This window comes from Homo sapiens, chromosome 2 (genome assembly GCF_000001405.40).
Source record: "Homo sapiens chromosome 2, GRCh38.p14 Primary Assembly".
In the NCBI taxonomy this organism is placed as follows: domain Eukaryota; kingdom Metazoa; phylum Chordata; class Mammalia; order Primates; family Hominidae; genus Homo; species Homo sapiens.
Genome location: NC_000002.12, coordinates 27,119,791 through 27,135,979, shown reverse-complemented (window position 1 = coordinate 27,135,979; position 16,189 = coordinate 27,119,791). Strand labels below are relative to the sequence as shown.

General features: G+C 52.5%; 2 protein-coding genes across 12 annotated transcripts, besides 6 other annotated features; one reads left to right on the top strand and one right to left on the bottom strand.

The window, feature by feature from the left end:
* Positions 931-1,587: an enhancer, noted in NCBI's record as "H3K27ac hESC enhancer chr2:27357261-27357917 (GRCh37/hg19 assembly coordinates)". NCBI's record gives its function as "activates a minimal SCP1, AML or CMV promoter by ChIP-STARR-seq in naive H9 embryonic stem cells {active_cell/tissue: H9 hESC(naive)}" and the evidence as "EXISTENCE:reporter gene assay evidence [ECO:0000049][PMID:30033119]".
* Positions 931-1,625: a biological region, named in NCBI's record as "H3K27ac hESC enhancer GRCh37_chr2:27357261-27357917".
* On the top strand, positions 1,344-5,224 carry PREB (prolactin regulatory element binding). Of its 7 annotated transcripts, none has more exons than NR_138479.2 (9): positions 1,344-1,693; positions 2,259-2,448; positions 2,643-2,863; positions 3,057-3,137; positions 3,253-3,377; positions 3,577-3,776; positions 3,898-3,970; positions 4,149-4,308; positions 4,472-5,224. NR_138479.2 is itself a non-coding variant. In NM_001330484.2 (9 exons), the coding sequence occupies exons 2-9, from the start codon at positions 2,340-2,342 to the stop codon at positions 4,564-4,566; spliced, it is 1,038 nt and encodes a 345-aa protein (NP_001317413.1). In that variant the 5' UTR covers positions 1,344-1,693; positions 2,326-2,339; the 3' UTR covers positions 4,567-5,224. The 7 variants fall into 7 exon arrangements, 5 of the variants coding, with proteins under 5 accessions (NP_001317413.1, NP_037520.1, NP_001317414.1 ...); NM_001330484.2 differs by having other exon boundaries at positions 2,326-2,448; positions 3,577-3,750; NM_013388.6 differs by having other exon boundaries at positions 3,577-3,750.
* Positions 1,406-1,455: an enhancer, noted in NCBI's record as "active region_15491". NCBI's record gives its function as "activates an Ori minimal core promoter by ATAC-STARR-seq in GM12878 lymphoblastoid cells {active_cell/tissue: GM12878}" and the evidence as "EXISTENCE:reporter gene assay evidence [ECO:0000049][PMID:35858748]".
* Positions 1,526-1,625: a silencer, noted in NCBI's record as "silent region_11287". NCBI's record gives its function as "represses an Ori minimal core promoter by ATAC-STARR-seq in GM12878 lymphoblastoid cells {active_cell/tissue: GM12878}" and the evidence as "EXISTENCE:reporter gene assay evidence [ECO:0000049][PMID:35858748]".
* ABHD1 (abhydrolase domain containing 1) lies at positions 5,168-12,165 on the bottom strand. Of its 5 annotated transcripts, NM_032604.4 has the most exons (9): positions 11,918-12,165; positions 7,379-7,539; positions 6,853-7,035; positions 6,619-6,664; positions 6,354-6,466; positions 6,053-6,226; positions 5,827-5,875; positions 5,564-5,729; positions 5,168-5,447 (listed from the first exon to the last, which is right to left on the bottom strand). In NM_032604.4, the coding sequence occupies exons 1-9, from the start codon at positions 12,029-12,031 to the stop codon at positions 5,236-5,238; spliced, it is 1,218 nt and encodes a 405-aa protein (NP_115993.3). In that variant the 5' UTR covers positions 12,032-12,165; the 3' UTR covers positions 5,168-5,235. The 5 variants fall into 5 exon arrangements, with proteins under 5 accessions (NP_115993.3, XP_011531438.1, XP_011531437.1 ...); XM_011533135.4 differs by lacking the exon at positions 5,168-5,447 and having other exon boundaries at positions 5,570-5,737; XM_011533137.4 differs by lacking the exon at positions 5,168-5,447 and having other exon boundaries at positions 5,637-5,753.
* Positions 12,081-12,220: a silencer, noted in NCBI's record as "silent region_11286". NCBI's record gives its function as "represses an Ori minimal core promoter by ATAC-STARR-seq in GM12878 lymphoblastoid cells {active_cell/tissue: GM12878}" and the evidence as "EXISTENCE:reporter gene assay evidence [ECO:0000049][PMID:35858748]".
* Positions 12,241-12,320: a silencer, noted in NCBI's record as "silent region_11285". NCBI's record gives its function as "represses an Ori minimal core promoter by ATAC-STARR-seq in GM12878 lymphoblastoid cells {active_cell/tissue: GM12878}" and the evidence as "EXISTENCE:reporter gene assay evidence [ECO:0000049][PMID:35858748]".

The window sequence follows — 16,189 nt, the reverse complement described above, 5'->3', positions numbered from 1 at the left end:
CGCTATTCCTCTGGGTGCACCTTAGGTTAATGAGAATGCAGGAGAGGGCGTCTCTTTGCAGGGAAGGACATCCCTTGTGCTCGCTCTCAGGAGTGCACAAAGGTCCTCATCAGATCAGAAACCCGAGGGAGAATGGAGTGTCAGGCGCAGAAGATACCTGCCCGGGAGCCAAACTGCCCCCTCTGAGGCCAGCAAAGCAGCTGGCCACCCACCAAGCCACCAGCCCAGGAGTGTGAAGCCTTGAGAAAGGGAATGGCAGACACCACCCCTGCCAAAAGTGGGCGATAGGCGTTAAGGATGACAGACGTGTCCTCATACGAGGAAGCAATGGATTCAGCATTTGAAGTCAGGTTTATTTTTAAGTTCATGCTGCCTCCGTTAAGAAGCAAGAGACTCCGGTGGTTTCTGGTGTGTGCCCTCGGGCAAATCACTTCCTCTCTGAGGTAAGATGCAAAGGCCTGTGCTCCTAGGAGTTGGCATATCACTCCTCAGATGGGAACAGTCCTTATTTGAGGATTTTATGTGTGTGAGAGACAGGGTCTAGCTCTGTTGCCCAGGGGCTGGAGTGCAGTGGTGACATCACTGGTGGTCCAGCGCAGCCTCGACCTCCCAGTCTCAAGTGATCCTCCCGCCTGAGCCTCCTGGGCACCTGGGCCCACAGGTGCCACGATGTTTGGCTAATTTTTAAATATTTCGTAGGGACGGATCCCCATGTTGCCCAGGCTGTCTCGAAAGCCTGGGCTCAAGCCATCCTCCTCTCTCGGACTTTCCGAAAGTGTTGGGATTACAGGAGGATTACAGGCATGAACCACCGTGCCTGGCAGAGGATTTTTTTTTTTTTGAGACGGAGTTTCACTCTTGTTGCTTGTTGCCCAGGCTGAAGAGCAATGGCAATGGCGCGATCTCGGCTCACTGCAACCTCTACTTCCCAGGTTCAAGTGATTCTCCTGCCTCAGGCTCCCGAGTAGCTGGGATTACAGGCGCACGCCACCACGCCCTTTGTATTTTTGGTAGAGACGGGGTTTCTCCATGTTGGTCAGGCTGGTCTCGAACTCCTGATCCGCCCGCCTAGGACTCACAAAGTGCTGGGATTACAGGCGCGAGTCGGATTTCTTTATTAAAGGTTGACCTTCATCAACCTCCATTGGCTCCACCTCCTCCGCCCGCGCCCCGCGCCCCGCACAAAAATGGCGAAGTCGGTGCTGGGCGACTCTGCCTCCGCGCCAGGGGTGGAGAACCGAAGCCCCGCCCCGGGAAACGCGGCCCCGCGGCCGGCTAGTGCTGACGCGTGTCGGCGCTCCTGCGCCTGCGCGGAGGGAGCCGCGAGACAGGTGCGCATGCGCAGTGCGCGTCTGCGAGACCGACTTGGACGGAGCCGAGCTGAGGCTCGGCTTCCTGCTGATGGTCAGGGTTTTGGCAACTCCCCGGTGTGAGAGGGGTAGGGAGTGCTCCCGGCGGCGACGGGGCCGAGTTCACCAGCCGCCGGGGCAGTAGTCGAAGGCCCGGCGCGGCATGTCCTGGGTGCCGCGGTGCGGGCAGTGAACGCGCGCCGGGCGGGATGGGCCGGCGCCGGGCGCCAGAGCTGTACCGGGCTCCGTTCCCGTTGTACGCGCTTCAGGTCGACCCCAGCACTGGGCTGCTCATCGCTGCGGGCGGAGGAGGCGCCGCCAAGACAGGCATAAAGAATGGCGTGGTGAGAGCGCAGGGCCACTGGGGCTGGGTCTTGCTGCGGGCTGGCGGCGATTCCAGGGTGGCCGGGGGGTCGCGGGGCGGGCCACACTCCAGCTTCGGGCCCTGCCCACTTCTGTTGGGAAGACCCGCTTGCCTGACGCCCAGGGGCGAATTTCAGTCGAGAACTCAGCGGGCGGAGGAGAGGCTTTTAAGGTAAAGTGAAAACTGCACACAGCTGCAGAGTCGCCAGGAACGCTTCAGCTCCGCCTCAGAGCAGCTCCAGGGGTCTTATACTGGCCTTTTCCGGGAGGTCTTGCCTGCCCTCTAGCAGCGGCGAGAGTGGTGCATTTGGGTTTAGGCTAAGTTCCTTCCCTCTCCTGAGCTTCACCCTGTTCTGTAAAATAGAGGTAATAATCCCAGTCCTGCTCACTGTGTAGATTTGTGAGGCCCAAATGAGAGAAAAAAGACTCGAGAAACCCTTGTGAACTAGAACGTGCAGAAAGCAAAGGGGTAAGACATCAGACTCTTCCCTAAACGTGCTCTCTGGGCACCCCTGAACTTGCTCATCCGGGTTCCCCCTCCCACAGCACTTTCTGCAGCTAGAGCTGATTAATGGGCGCTTGAGTGCCTCCTTGCTGCACTCCCATGACACAGAGACACGGGCCACCATGAACTTGGCACTGGCTGGTGACATCCTTGCTGCAGGGCAGGATGCCCACTGTCAGCTCCTGCGCTTCCAGGCACATCAACAGCAGGGCAACAAGGCAGAGAAGGCCGGTGAGGAGCTCCCTCTCTACCCCCTTGGGGAAAGGGTTGAACGAGTAAGGTCACTCTTGGTGTCTCTAAAGAAGTGGGTCTGGAAGTAGGGTTTTGGTAGCAAGCTAGAAGTTGTATGGGCACCTGCCATGGAGAGAGGGGCCAGTACTCCTTACTGTAGAAGCCTGGAACCTGGCCAAGTGTTTGTGTTACAGGTTCCAAGGAGCAGGGGCCTCGACAAAGGAAGGGAGCAGCCCCAGCAGAGAAGAAATGTGGAGCGGAAACCCAGCACGAGGGGCTAGAACTCAGGGTAGAGAATTTGCAGGCGGTGCAGACAGACTTTAGCTCCGATCCACTGCAGAAAGTTGTGTGCTTCAACCACGATAATACCCTGCTTGCCACTGGAGGAACAGATGGCTACGTCCGTGTCTGGAAGGTGTGGGTTTGCAGGGTTAGGGAGGGTGAATGTCAGTAGCAACAGGATCAAAATTGTGAGAAGTTGAACGTGGCATCTGGGAAACTTGTGAATGAAGCTTGCATTGAGGGGCCATTAGAAGGGGTGGCGTGGGCATCAGTCACAGTGTACTTGCTGGACACCTGAGTTAACCATGGTGGTTGTTTGGCTACAGGTGCCCAGCCTGGAGAAGGTTCTGGAGTTCAAAGCCCACGAAGGGGAGATTGAAGACCTGGCTTTAGGGCCTGATGGCAAGGTGAGGGGCTGGGGGTGGGAGGAGGATGGAGAAAGGAGAGAGGAGGTGCTTATGCTGCTTGCCCAGTAAGTGGATCCCCTAACTGTCCATCCTTGGAATCTTTATTCCTAACTAGTTGGTAACCGTGGGCCGGGACCTTAAGGCCTCTGTGTGGCAGAAGGATCAGCTGGTGACACAGCTGCACTGGCAAGAAAATGGACCCACCTTTTCCAGCACACCTTACCGCTACCAGGCCTGCAGGTGTGAAGACTTTGGGTGGTGGCTGAAAGAGGCATAGCCCAGCTGTGGTGGGGGAGAGGGAAAAGACTGGGGATGGGAGAGCTGGGGAGGAACTTGTTGAGTGTTACCCCAGGTCTGACCAGGGTGCAGGTGGTGCACAAACCTCTGAGGAGGGTTGGGCAGGCCCTAGGAGCTGAATAGCCCCTCATCCGGCCCCCAGGTTTGGGCAGGTTCCAGACCAGCCTGCTGGCCTGCGACTCTTCACAGTGCAAATTCCCCACAAGCGCCTGCGCCAGCCCCCTCCCTGCTACCTCACAGCCTGGGATGGCTCCAACTTCTTGCCCCTTCGGACCAAGTCCTGTGGCCATGAAGTCGTCTCCTGCCTCGATGTCAGGTGTGAGACATTGCTGCCTTGGCTAGGTAGGGGGTCCCTGAGGGAGCTTGGAAAGGAGTCCTGCCTGGGTCCCTACGGACCGGTATTGGGGTATGAGGGTTGCTGCACAAGCCTCCAGGACAATGAGCTCTTTATTGTTTGTTGCAGTGAATCCGGCACCTTCCTAGGCCTGGGCACAGTCACTGGCTCTGTTGCCATCTACATAGCTTTCTCTCTCCAGGTAATGGGTGGAGGTTGGCATGGCCCTGTGGGTGGACTGTAGGCCTGTCTCTACCCTGAGTTTGCAGGAAGGAGTCTGGCCCATCCTATCGAGGGAAATCCTGGGGGTGGGGAACATGCTTTCCAGAAAGAGAGTTCCCAGCTAGGCCTTTCCTCACTGGTATTCCTTCTGCCCACAGTGCCTCTACTACGTGAGGGAGGCCCATGGCATTGTGGTGACGGATGTGGCCTTTCTACCTGAGAAGGGTCGTGGTCCAGAGCTCCTTGGGTCCCATGAAACTGCCCTGTTCTCTGTGGCTGTGGACAGTCGTTGCCAGCTGCATCTGTTGCCCTCACGGCGTGAGTCATTGGGGCAGGGCAGGCAGGCACCACCCCACGTTTAATGACCAGAAACGTGCCCCCCGGAGGCTGGGCTCTTTGTGCCACTCCTCCTTTGAAGGGTTCTGGTTTTCAGGCTGGGAAGCCCTTTTGCCCGCTGACCTCCTCCCTTTCCCTCCTGCAGGGAGTGTTCCTGTGTGGCTCCTGCTCCTGCTGTGTGTCGGGCTTATTATTGTGACCATCCTGCTGCTCCAGAGTGCCTTTCCAGGTTTCCTTTAGCTTCCCTGCTTCCTGGGAATCAGGAGCCTGGACACTGCCATCTCTAGAGCAGAGTGGAGGCCTGGACTCCCTTTGCTCACTCCATTCGGGTCCACAGCTGAGGTTGCCGCTGACAAGATGAATGGGCACTGCCTGCCCTTCTAGTGAAAAGGCTTGGCTATGGCCCTGTGTGACTCCAGGTCCCAGGAACCTTGCCTTCGTCATCTGTGGATCCATCCAGAACAGCGGTATCTGAAGCCCAGGCCATACTCCCTGCCTCCTTTCTTCTGCCTACCAGAGGCTCCAGAGTTGAGCTTGTCCTTATCTAGAAACATGTGAAGATGCCCAAGAGCCTGGAGGCACTGCTGTCCTTCCTGCAGAAACAGTTTCTCCTCCTCCCCTCAGCCTTGTGGCCAGTTCCTCTTCACATGAAGCCCCTGGCATTTGCTGGGGAAGGGACTGGCCTGGTACTTGCTGTTAGGGCAGGAAGGGGCAAAAGGAAGACTTGGGTAGTAATCTGGGGGTTCAGATGGGTAGCACTAAGCCAGCTGGCCTAAAGATGCAATAAGTTCCTAGGTAGTCTACCCTTACCTTGAGGAATGGGAAAATGAACCTCAGCCCATTAGGCAGGAAAAGTTGATATTTAATAAACAAGGAAAGAGTGAACTGAGACCCCAAATGGTACTCTTGTCAGCTGTTTCTGTCCTCAGAAGGTAAGAGAGCCCTGAGGTCAGGCAGCCCCTCTGGGTCCTGGAAGATGGCTTTGGCGTACTGATGCAAGAGGCGGCTCATGTACCAGTGCTGCCACGGGAGCAGCCCTTCCAGGAAGCCGATGTGGCCACCCCGGGCTGTGATGAGCAGCGCAACGTAGGGGGAGTGTTGGGCGGCCTGTATGGGAAGGGCTAGGAGAGGGTCAGAGGTTAGAAACACTGGCCTTCACTGGGAGCCCAGGCTGTCTGTTGCGTCCCTCATGGCCCATTTTCCTTGGGGCCAAAGTGTCCTGAATCAGAGTACTCACCACAGACGGGGGAGAAGGGGTCATCTGCTGCACTGAGATAGAGCACAGGGATCCGGATGGCATCTATCTTGGTTCTAGGGCTTGCTGCTTTGTAGTAGGTAACACAGTCTTGATATCCAAAGGCCACAGATGTGTAGCGCTCATCAAACTGGCGGATTGTACGGGCCTGCAGGTCTTACCATAGGATAGGCTAAGATGATAAAGAATAGGAAGATAGTGGAAGACTCATTTGGGGGAACCAGGGGCATGGCTGAATATTATACCTGTAGTACAAAGTCTATGTCCACCACCTTTTCAATCACCTTTCTGTTTCTGCAAAAGTACATAAGAGTTTGGCTTGACACCTGGATCTGATCCCCCACCCCCAGGCCCTGTCTTACTATCTCATGTGTGAGGAAGCCCAGAGAGAACTGACCAAGCACTAGGAGAGCCTGGAGTGTCTGCCATCCTACTCTGTCTACTGCCTCCTCCCACTTGCCACGACCCTACCGTTCCACAAGTTGGCAGAGCCCAGCAGTGAGGGGCTGATTGAAGAGCAGTGAGTTGAGTGGGGTTTCCAGGGAGCGAGTGGTCTCAAAGGAATCCCAGCATGCAGACAGAGTCAGTGCTGCCACCAGCCCTGCAGCCTGCCTGGCCTGTGCCAGGTGATTCAGCACCAGTATCCTGTGGAATTGGACAAGGGACCATGAAAGAAGGGTTTGCATTAATGTGGGTTGGGACAGAGGAAGGGGACATGGAGGAGGAAAAAAAGGAAGACTGGGCCTCTGGGCTAAGCCCAGGCAATCTTTACCCTCCAAAAGAGATGCCCACGGCCAGCAGTGGAGCTTGGGGATAACGATGCTTTATGTGGTTCACGACTGTCTCTAGATCTTCAGTATTGCTGGCACAAAAAGCCCTGTGGGTCTGAGGGCAAACCAGATCATTGGGTAGGGAGGGAGACCGTGGCCAGAAGGTGGAGGGGAAACTGAGGAAGGATAGGTAGGAGGTGAGCCCCAGGGCCAAGGATCTCTAAAGGGAGTGGGTGAAGGGCTGCTATGAGGAAGGCAGCTACTCACCCGCAGTTCCTCCCCACGGCAGCCCCGGTTGTTAAACACGACAGCCCTGTGGCACACACAGGTACATCTTAGCCAGACCCTTCTTAGCCCCTCTCCCCTTTCAGTATTCAGAAAGACCCCTGTCCAAAGACTCCCTTTGTGTAGCATTCTTCTTATCTATCAGTGTCCGGATTGACTTCTCCCTAATACACGTTCTCAGATGCCACCCCACTCTGGGGCTGCACCCATCCTTACTGGTAGCCATCCCTCAGAGCTTGGTTAACTAGGTGCAAGACGTATGTCTCCTGGCTACTGCCAGTGATGCCAGGAAGCAGCAGCACAATGGGCTGGGTAGTAGGATCAGGGTCTTGGCTGCTGTCAGGCTGCTTGGCCCAGTCTAGCAGGAGCTGGCCTCCATCTGGTGTTTGGAGGATGTCACTGGTTTTGGAGGAAGAGGCACACAAAGATACTATTAAGAACTTAATGTAATTCAAAAGCTTTGCCCCCTGCCCCACCCACAAACAAGTCTTATCACTTCCCGTCAGCATCATCTGAGGGTGTTCTTCATGTAAAACAGTAAGGCTTGACAATGTGTGATGGGGACATAAAAGATGACCTGGTGGCCGTGCAATTATATAGCCCTTCCATATAACATCCATTGTCATTGAACCCTCAACACAGGGATGTAGATGAGGCAGATTACCTACATTTTAAAAGTGGTAGATAGGTTTTTCCCTAGATACCTGGGGTTTCATGTTCACCCTGTTCTGTCCCTTCTTACCTCTGATAAAGGACTAGGGGCTGAGACTGCAGGAGGACTTGGAAGATGCTTTGTAGTCGCCCCTCAAAACACCACAGCGTTGGGTAGAAAGTCTCGGTGGTGATGGAACAGTGTGGCTCCAGGAAGGCCAGAAACTGCGGCCCAGCCACCAGCCGAGGCCTCTGTAATCACACAGCAGTCTGCCCCACTTCCCTGACTTTTGCACCAAGCTAGTGAGGCACCCAACACCAGAGGGTGAGGGGGCCCCCTCTCCAGAGCCCAGCCTGGAGGACCCTGCTTTGTCTGCATGTGAGATACTCAGCACAGCTCAGTTGAATGGCCAAGTCTGATAATACACTCCAGCTAGAGCCCCTAAAAAACCCAGTCCTGGAGTGTCACTGCCCAGAATTGACCCTGAACTGGGAGCTGCTGAGTTGACTGAGTGCTGACTTTCCTGCTCAGCCTATCCATGCCCCAAACCCATTTTGGAGAGAGCAGGTGATGTAAACAGCCACGCTCAGTGGTGTGCGCCTGTGGTCCCAGCCACTTGGGAGGCTGAGGTGGGAGGATCACTTGAGCCCAGGAGTTCAAGGCTGCAGTGAGCTATGATAGCACCACTGTACTCTAGCCTGGGCGACAGTGAGACCCTGTCAATAAGTGCCCAGCTGATCCCCTGCAGAAAAAGTCGGGGTTCTGGGCAGGGGCTGAAGAAATGCAGCACCATTCAATCTTCAGCCTTTACTTTGCAGTTGAAAATGAAGCCGGCCGGGCGCAGTCGCTCATGCCTGTAATCCCAGCACTTTGGGAGGCCGAGGTGGGTGGATCACAAGGTCAAGAGATGGAGACCATCCTGGCCAACATGGTGAAACCCCGATTCTACTAAAAGTACAAAAATTAGCCAGGCATGGTGGTGAGCACCTGTAGTCTCAGTTACTCGGGAGGCTGAGGCAGGAGAATCACTTGAACCCGGGAGGCAGAGGTTGCAGTGAGCCGAGGTTGTGCCACTGCACTCCAGCCTGGTGATAGAGCGAGACACCATCTTTTTTTTTTCTTTTTTTTTTTTTTTTTTGAGACAGAGTCTCGCTCTGTTGCCCAGGCTGGAGTGCAGTGGCGCAATCTCGGCTCACTGCAAGCTCCACCTCCCGGGTTCACGCCATTCTCCTGCCTCAGCCTCCCAAGTAGCTGGGACTACAGGCGCCCGCCACCACGCCTGGCTAATTTTTTGTACTTTCAGTAGAGACGGGGTTTCACTGTGTTAGCCAGGATGGTCTCGATCTCCTGACCTCATGATCCGCCCGCCTCGGCCTCCCAAAGTGCTGGGATTACAGGCGTGAGCCACTGTGCCCAGCAACACCGTCTTAAAAAAAAAAAAAAAAAAAAAAAAAAGATGAAGCTACACTGTCTTCTTCCTAAGACTGACTCTGGCCACTCTGGCTCCTGATTTTAGCACCACTTCATCTGTATATTCCTATTCTCTAATGTTCTTGCTCACTGCCAAGGGGTTTTTTTGAGACACAGTTTCACTCTGTCGCCCAGGCTAGAGTGCAGTGGCGTGATCTCGGCTCACTGCAAGATCTCTGCCTCCCGGGTTCACACGATTCTCCTGCCTCAGCCTCCCGAGTAGCTGGGACTACATGTGCCCGCCACCACACCTGGCTAATTTTTTTTTTTTTTTTTGTATTTTTAGTAAAGATGGGGTTTCACTGTGTTAGCCAGGATGGTCTCGATCTCCTGACCTCGTGATCCGCCCACCTCGGCCTCCCAAAGTGCTGGGATTACAGGTGTAAGCCACTGCGTCTGGCCTAAGGGGCTTCTTTCTACCGGGGACCTTATCTTCTCTTACTTGTGGGGCCCCTGCTGTTAGATTGTGCTCTAAAGGAAGAACAGCCCTAATGTGAATCGATTTTTTTCTTCCTTCATGCCAGCTAGGGGGAAGGTGACAAGGATGAAATAACAGGGACAGATGAGGTCAGTGGGCACTAAGCCCTGACTTTCAGCTTCTCTGCTGTGTTCTGGACAGACATCAAGTGAATGAGAGAGCCTAGCCACGTGGAAGGCATGTGAAGGAGGAGTATGCCATAGGTTCAAGAATAGAAACTGCATATCCGCAGTGGGCCCTAAGGAACATGAGGACCAGATTTCTATCTCCAGTACAGTTCCTATAGTCTACAGGGGCAAATGGTAGAGATGCCAAGTCGATAGTGCAACTGTTGGGAGATGTGACTTTGGACCCTAGTCCTTAAGCCCTGGAATTACGACAGCTGTCAGTCGTGTGAAGGCACTGGGCTAAGCCCAAACTTATGAGATATTTTATAAGTGAAGAAGTTATGACTGACAGAGATTAAGTGGTTTGTCCAGTTACACAGCAAGCAAGAGGCAAAACAAAATTATTAACTATGACATTACCACCAGTACTTGTAGGTAAGATTTGTTGAGTTCTCATTAAGCTCCAGGCATTCTGCTAAGCACTTCACACAAATTTTGTCTTGTGATTTTCATAACAGTTCCATGAAATAGGTTCTGTGATCCCCCTATGTGAACGGATTTGAATGCTGAATAACTTGTCAAGGGCCAGAAGCTTGCCAGAGCTAGTTAGTGGCAGAGCAGGAGATTCAAACCCAGGTCTGTCTGACTCTAGAGCCTGCGCTGTCTAGTCACTGTCGGGTATTGCCTCCTAATTGCCAAGATTTTGAGTTGCTATCCTTTTTTTTTTTTTTTTTTTGAGACGGAGTTTTGCTCTGACACCCAGGCTGGAGTGCAGTGGTGCCATCTCAGCTCACCGCAACCTCCGCCTCCTGGGTTCAAGCGATTCTCCTGCCTCAGCCTCCTGAGTGGCTGGGATGACAGGCTTGCGTCACCACACCCAACTAATTTTTGTATTTTTAGTAGAGATAGGGGTTTCACCATGTTGGCCAGGCGGGTCTCGAACTCCTGACATCAAGTGATTCGCCCGCCTCAGCCTCCCAAAATGCTGGGATTACAGGCATGAGCCACTGTGCTCGGCTGAGTTACTATCAGTTTATTAATTCCTTGGTCAAACGGCCCAGTAGTGTGGAACAAGACTTATAAATTTGTTCACAGGTTTGATTTATGTGGGTTAATTTGATTTTAACTCAAGAAAATGTTTCTTGACTCCCTCCTGAGAATGAATTAGTATTACAATATGGCACTGGTTGCTATGCTTAAATCAGTATAGATCCATTACAGTGCTGGCCAATCCAAACACCGTATCTAGAGGGCCTCCAGAATGGCACTTTTCCTGCATTTTAACCAGTATTCGTTAGCTTATAAAGGGTTTAGTCTATAAAGCAGCAGGGGCCCAGATTTCTGTGCAGCTAGTTGCAAGTAAAGGAAAGTGTTTCCTTAGGGGCAGTTTTGTTCTGAAGTGACCTTCCAAATCTGATGTATAAAGTGAGGCCTACAGAGTATTGTGAGGCTTGGAGTTTTTAACTGTTTTATTAAGGAAGACTTTTTTTTTTTTTTTTGAGACGGAGTTTCACTCTTGTTGCTCAGGCTGGAGTGCAATGGCACGAGGCTCATTGCAACCTCCGCCTCCCAGGTTCAAGTGATTCTCCTGCCTCAGGCTCCCGAGTAGCTGGGATTATAGGCATGTGCCACCATGCCTGGCTAATTTTTGTATTTTTAGTAGAGATGGGGTTTCTTCATGTTGGTCAGGCTGCTCTCGAACTCCCGACCTCAGGCGATCCTCCCGCCTCTGCCTCCCAAAGTGTTGGGATTACAGGCGTGAGCCACCACACCCGGCCCTAAGGAAGACATTTAGTAAACAATATATGCTAATGTAGAAAGCTCTGAAAATATGGAAAAGTCTAGGTAACACTAAAGTCTCCTATAGACCTTTTTAAAGGACTCGAACCAGTAGGTGTCTTGTTAGACTCAGCTACCTAGAACAGAGTTTAATGAAGATGAAGAGATTTGGCTTTTCCTGGATATGTAAATTATGTATATATCTAAATTTCAGTGAGAAAAGTCTCCAAATTCATCAAAATCAACCTCTTCAAACTTTCTCATCACACTCACTATATGGAGAGCCTGGAACATAAAACGGCTGAATGAGCAAGGACAGTTGGGGTCATCCATCAGTTCTGAGCTAGGCCAGTTCTGACCTCAGCCAGCCCTTAAGGGAAGGGAGGTCCTACTAAGCTATTTGGGGGGTGGGTGGTATTGGGAGTTAGCCATGACCCACAGACCTCTGGTTCCTTCCTTCAGTGCAGCTGAAAGACTCAGCTAAACCACCTAAAAAGGAACGCAAAGTGTGCACATCTCTGATACCTCAGGATGCCTTCCACCCCACCTTTCCCCAAATGCTTGTCCACATTATAGGGAGCAGCACCCTCCGGTACCCAAAAGGCCCAGCTGGCATGGGGATCACATGGGATGCAGAGGCACTAGAGAGGCAGAGCCGACTCTCCATTCGGTGGTAGCAAATTTCACCTGTGGGGAAGCCCAACCATCCCAGTTCCCACCAAGGGCCCAAGCCCGTGTCTGGAAGCTGCCCCCTACACCCAAACCCGCTGGCCAGAGCGGTGGACCCGCACCCACCTGAAGCACACATGCCCAGTAGTAGCCCAAGTAGAGGGCAACGGCAAGAGCCAAGAGCAGAGAGAAGGTGTCTGCCCAGGTGCCATTCTGGGGGCTCAGGAAGGAGCTCAGCATCTTGTGTTGGGGGCTTCCGACCCTCAGGCTCCTGGCTGGCCCCAGTTGGCCGGCTGTAACTCGCGGTCCCACCCGCCGCCCGCCATAGGCGGCCTGTGCAGGTCCGGTCCCCGCTGCAGGCAGTTTGCGCTGCTGGCCCCGCCCACCGCCGGTGCCCCGGGATGGGCGGCGAGAGGCGGCGCTAGTTGGTCGCGGGGCTGGGTGGCTGGTCGCCTAGTGCCTCGCGCGGATCTAACCCGAGTGACCTGCGAATGGCCTCCCGCCCTCCCCTGCCTTCTTCCCCTCCGCGGTTCTTGGCTGTGCAGCCCGAGACAAGCGGCCTCCCCCAGCTGCCATCTTGGTGCGGGGCATCTCCAGCTCCCTTAAACTCTTCCCCGGCGACGCCCCGAGTCCAGCAGCCTGGCCAGAGTCCCTTAGGCGCTCGCAGTCAGTCACGCACAGGACACAGCTACTCCTGCAGTGACATTCTGCTCTGTCACACACTACAGCCATTCACAGTGACCCTCACCAGTCACTGTCCGACTGTGACACCCCACACTGTCACAAAGCTTTCAGCTGCTCAGTGGTGGCATTGCAACACATGCACCTTCCTGCAGTGTCACTCTGCATTGTCTCATACAGTCCCTGCCACACAGTCCTCGTACAGTAGATAATTTGCTCACCACCCGCCCTGTACCAGGCACTTGATACAGACCCCCCATGTTACTGTCCGTGTCTTCATTGAAATATAGGAGGTCGTCTACTAAGAGTAGTGGCTTTCAACCTTGACTGCAGATCGGAATCATCTAGGATTTTTAAAACTACCAGTGCCCAGGCCCTACCCCCGATACAGTTAGTCTGGAGAGGAGCCTAGGTATCAATACACCGTAAAGCTTCTAGGAGGTCCACAAGTCATCAGGGCTTAACATGGTCCACACAAGAGAAGTACCAGCTGCCATGGGAGCACTGCGGAGGTGCCCGGACTTCACGCGAGGGTGTTCTAGCAGAGGGGGCAGCAAAGGCAAAAGCCTGGAGGTGAAGGATGTCTTAAGGGAACAAAGAAAGTTGGTGTGGCTGGAGCATGTGGGTGGTCAAGGACCACATAATTGCTGCAGTTTATCCTAGGGTCAGAGGAAAGCCATCCAGGGGTTTTAAGAAGGGAAGGGTGACATGAGTTATGTTTTAGGAGAATCATTCAGTTGCTTGGAGAATAGATTGGAGGAGGAGGAAAGTAGAAGCAGAGAGGCCACTGGGAGGCTGCTAACAGAACGCCAGGCTCAAAAGATGCCCGGACTGGAGGATACCCAGGAGAGGAGTGAAGATCTTCAAGATCAGTGGCAGAATTGATAGGACCTGGTAGTAGATTGGAGGCAGGGGAAGAAGGAGGAACATGGATGACCTCCAGGTTTCTGACTGCACAGATATAAAGTGTCCATCCCTGGGACAGGGAAACAGAGGAGAGGAAGGTTTGAAGAGGAAGATGATGCATTTAGACACAGACATGTAGAAGTTGGGGTGCTGGTAGGTGTTTTAACTGTGTTTCCTTAGGTTCTGTATTTGTCTATTTGGCATCCATAAATCACAGGGCCAACCTAATGGCCAAGGTTGTTTACATCTCCCCTACAATCCAGAGCTCACACTCTGAGCACTTCCTTTCTCTAACTTTCACATTCCAAGCCAGTATCTCCCCTGCCCTAAATCAACCCAGGACCAGGTAACCAGGACCTGTCCCTGTGCCCCAGAGCACTCTGGAATTATTCAAACTAGCCAGTCCCAAACTGCTTCTCCTGCCTTACTGGGAGAAGTAAACCCCAATAAAGGCCTGTACCTTCCCTTCGCTTCTTTCTGCCTCCTGAGTGACACTGGCACTTCCCCCTGTGACCGTGCCTTTTGTTTCTAGGGGAACTGCAAATAACATTAAGCTTTTCTTTCAATAGCAGTGACCTCTTCATGTCCTCACTCAGCCACCTTTATAAATTAAAACTCAGGCACAAATTAGTAGGATATTCAATGCCTGAAGTGGCCTGGGGCTTAGAGATTGGAGGTGGAGAATTGGCAATCATCAGCATTTAGGTGGTGTATTAGTTGGCAGTTTGCTGTAAGAAAGCACTACAAACTGGGTGTCTTAAACCAGGGGTCCCCAACCCCCTGGGCTGCAAATTGGTACTGGTCCATGACCTGGTAGGAACCAGGTGGCATAGCAGAAGGTGAGCAGGATGAGCAAGCATTACTGCCTGAGATCAGCAGTGGAATTAGATTCTCATAGGAGCGCAAACCCTATGTGAACTGCACACAAGAAGGATCTAGGTTGCGTGCTCCTTATTAGAATCTAATGCCTGTTGATCTGAGGTGGAAGTTTCATCCCAAAACCATCACCCTCACCCCCAACCCTTCTGATCTGTGGAAAGATTGTCTTCTCTGAGGCTGGGCACGTGGCTCACGCCTGTAACGCCCAATGCTTTGAGAGTTCAAGGCAGGCGGATCACCTGAGGTCAGGAGTTCGAGACCAGGCTGGCCAACATGGTGAAACCTCGTCCCTACTAAAAAAATACAAAAAAAGAAAAAAAAAAGAAAAAAAAAAAAAGATTGTCTTCTCTGAAACTGGTCCCTGGTGCCAAAAAGGTTGGGGACTGTCTTAAACAACAGAGATTTATTGTCTCACACTTCTGGAGACTAGAAGTCAAGACTGAAATATCAGTAGGGTGGGTTCATTCTGGGAACCGTGAGGAATAATCTATTCCATGCCTCTCCCCTGGCTTCTGGCATTTTGCTGGAAATCTTTGGCACTCCCTGACTGGTAGAAGCATCACCCTGATCTCTGTCTTCATCTTCACAAACATCTTAGTGAGTTTGTGCTGCTATAACAAAATCCCACAGACTGAGTAATTTACAAACAACAGAAATTTATTCCTCACAGTTCTGGAGACTGGGAAGTCCAAGATCCAGGCACTGGCAGGTTCGGTGTCTGTGAAGGTCCATTCCTCAGAGATGGTGCGTCTGGGTTTCCTCATGTGATGGAAGGGACAGAAAGGCAAGAGAGCAAGAGGGGTGAACTCTCTCAGAAACCTCTTTCATAAGGTCATTAATCCCTTCATGAGGGGAGAGCCCTCATGGTTTCATCATGTCCCAAAAGGCCCTACTCCTTTTTGGTTTTTTTCAGAGGCAGGATGTCGCTCTGTCACCAAGGTTGGAGTGCAGTGGCAGGATCACAGCTCACTGTAACCTCAAATTCCTGGACTCAAGGGATCTGCCTGCCTCAGCCTCCCAAATAGCTGGGACTACAGGCGTGCACCACCATGCCTAATTTTTATTTATTTATTTATTGTAGAGACACGGTCTCACTATGTTGCCCAGACTGGTCGAAAACTCCTGGCCTCAAGAGATCCTCACACTTCGGCCTCCCAAAGTGCTGGGATTACAGGTGTGAGCCACTGTGCCTGGCTTCCTCCTCTTAATATCACCACAATGGGGACTAAGTTTCAGCACATGAATTTGGTGGGATATTCAGGCCATAGCAATGTTCTTCCTATGTGTGTGTCTGTGTCCACATTTCCTCTTTTGATATGAACACCAGTCATATTGATTAGGGGCCCACCCTACTCCAGTATGACCTCATCTTAATGGATTACATCTGCAATGACCCTATTTCCAAATAAGGTCACAGTCTGAGGTATTGGAGGTTAAGACTTCAACATATAACTTTGTGAAGGACACGAGTCAATGCATAACAGTGATGGGAGCTAGGTGAGCAGATGAGCACATGAGCAGATGGAAAGTGAGGAGAGGGCCCTGAGGAACTCTGACGGTGAAGAAAATGGAGACCTTTTTGAAATGACCAGAGGTAGGAGAGGTATTGCCGAAACCAGCAGAATCCGTGATCTAAAAAGGCAGTGACAAGCAGTGTTCATCACTGGGAGGAGGACAGGATGAGAGTGGGCTTGTCGCTGTGATGACAGTGTCGCTGTGATGGAGTGTCACAAACAACTCAGGAAGAGTTCACCCTGACACCCCAATACATATGCCTCTAACACTCTGCACCGCCACACCCCTGGGCAGTCAGTCACACATTGGCCATACCCTGAAGCCCACACTATCATTTATTTTTTATTTATTTATTTATTTATTGAGACGGAGTCTCAGTCTTGCTTTGTCACCCAGGCTGGAGTGCAGTGGCGTGAT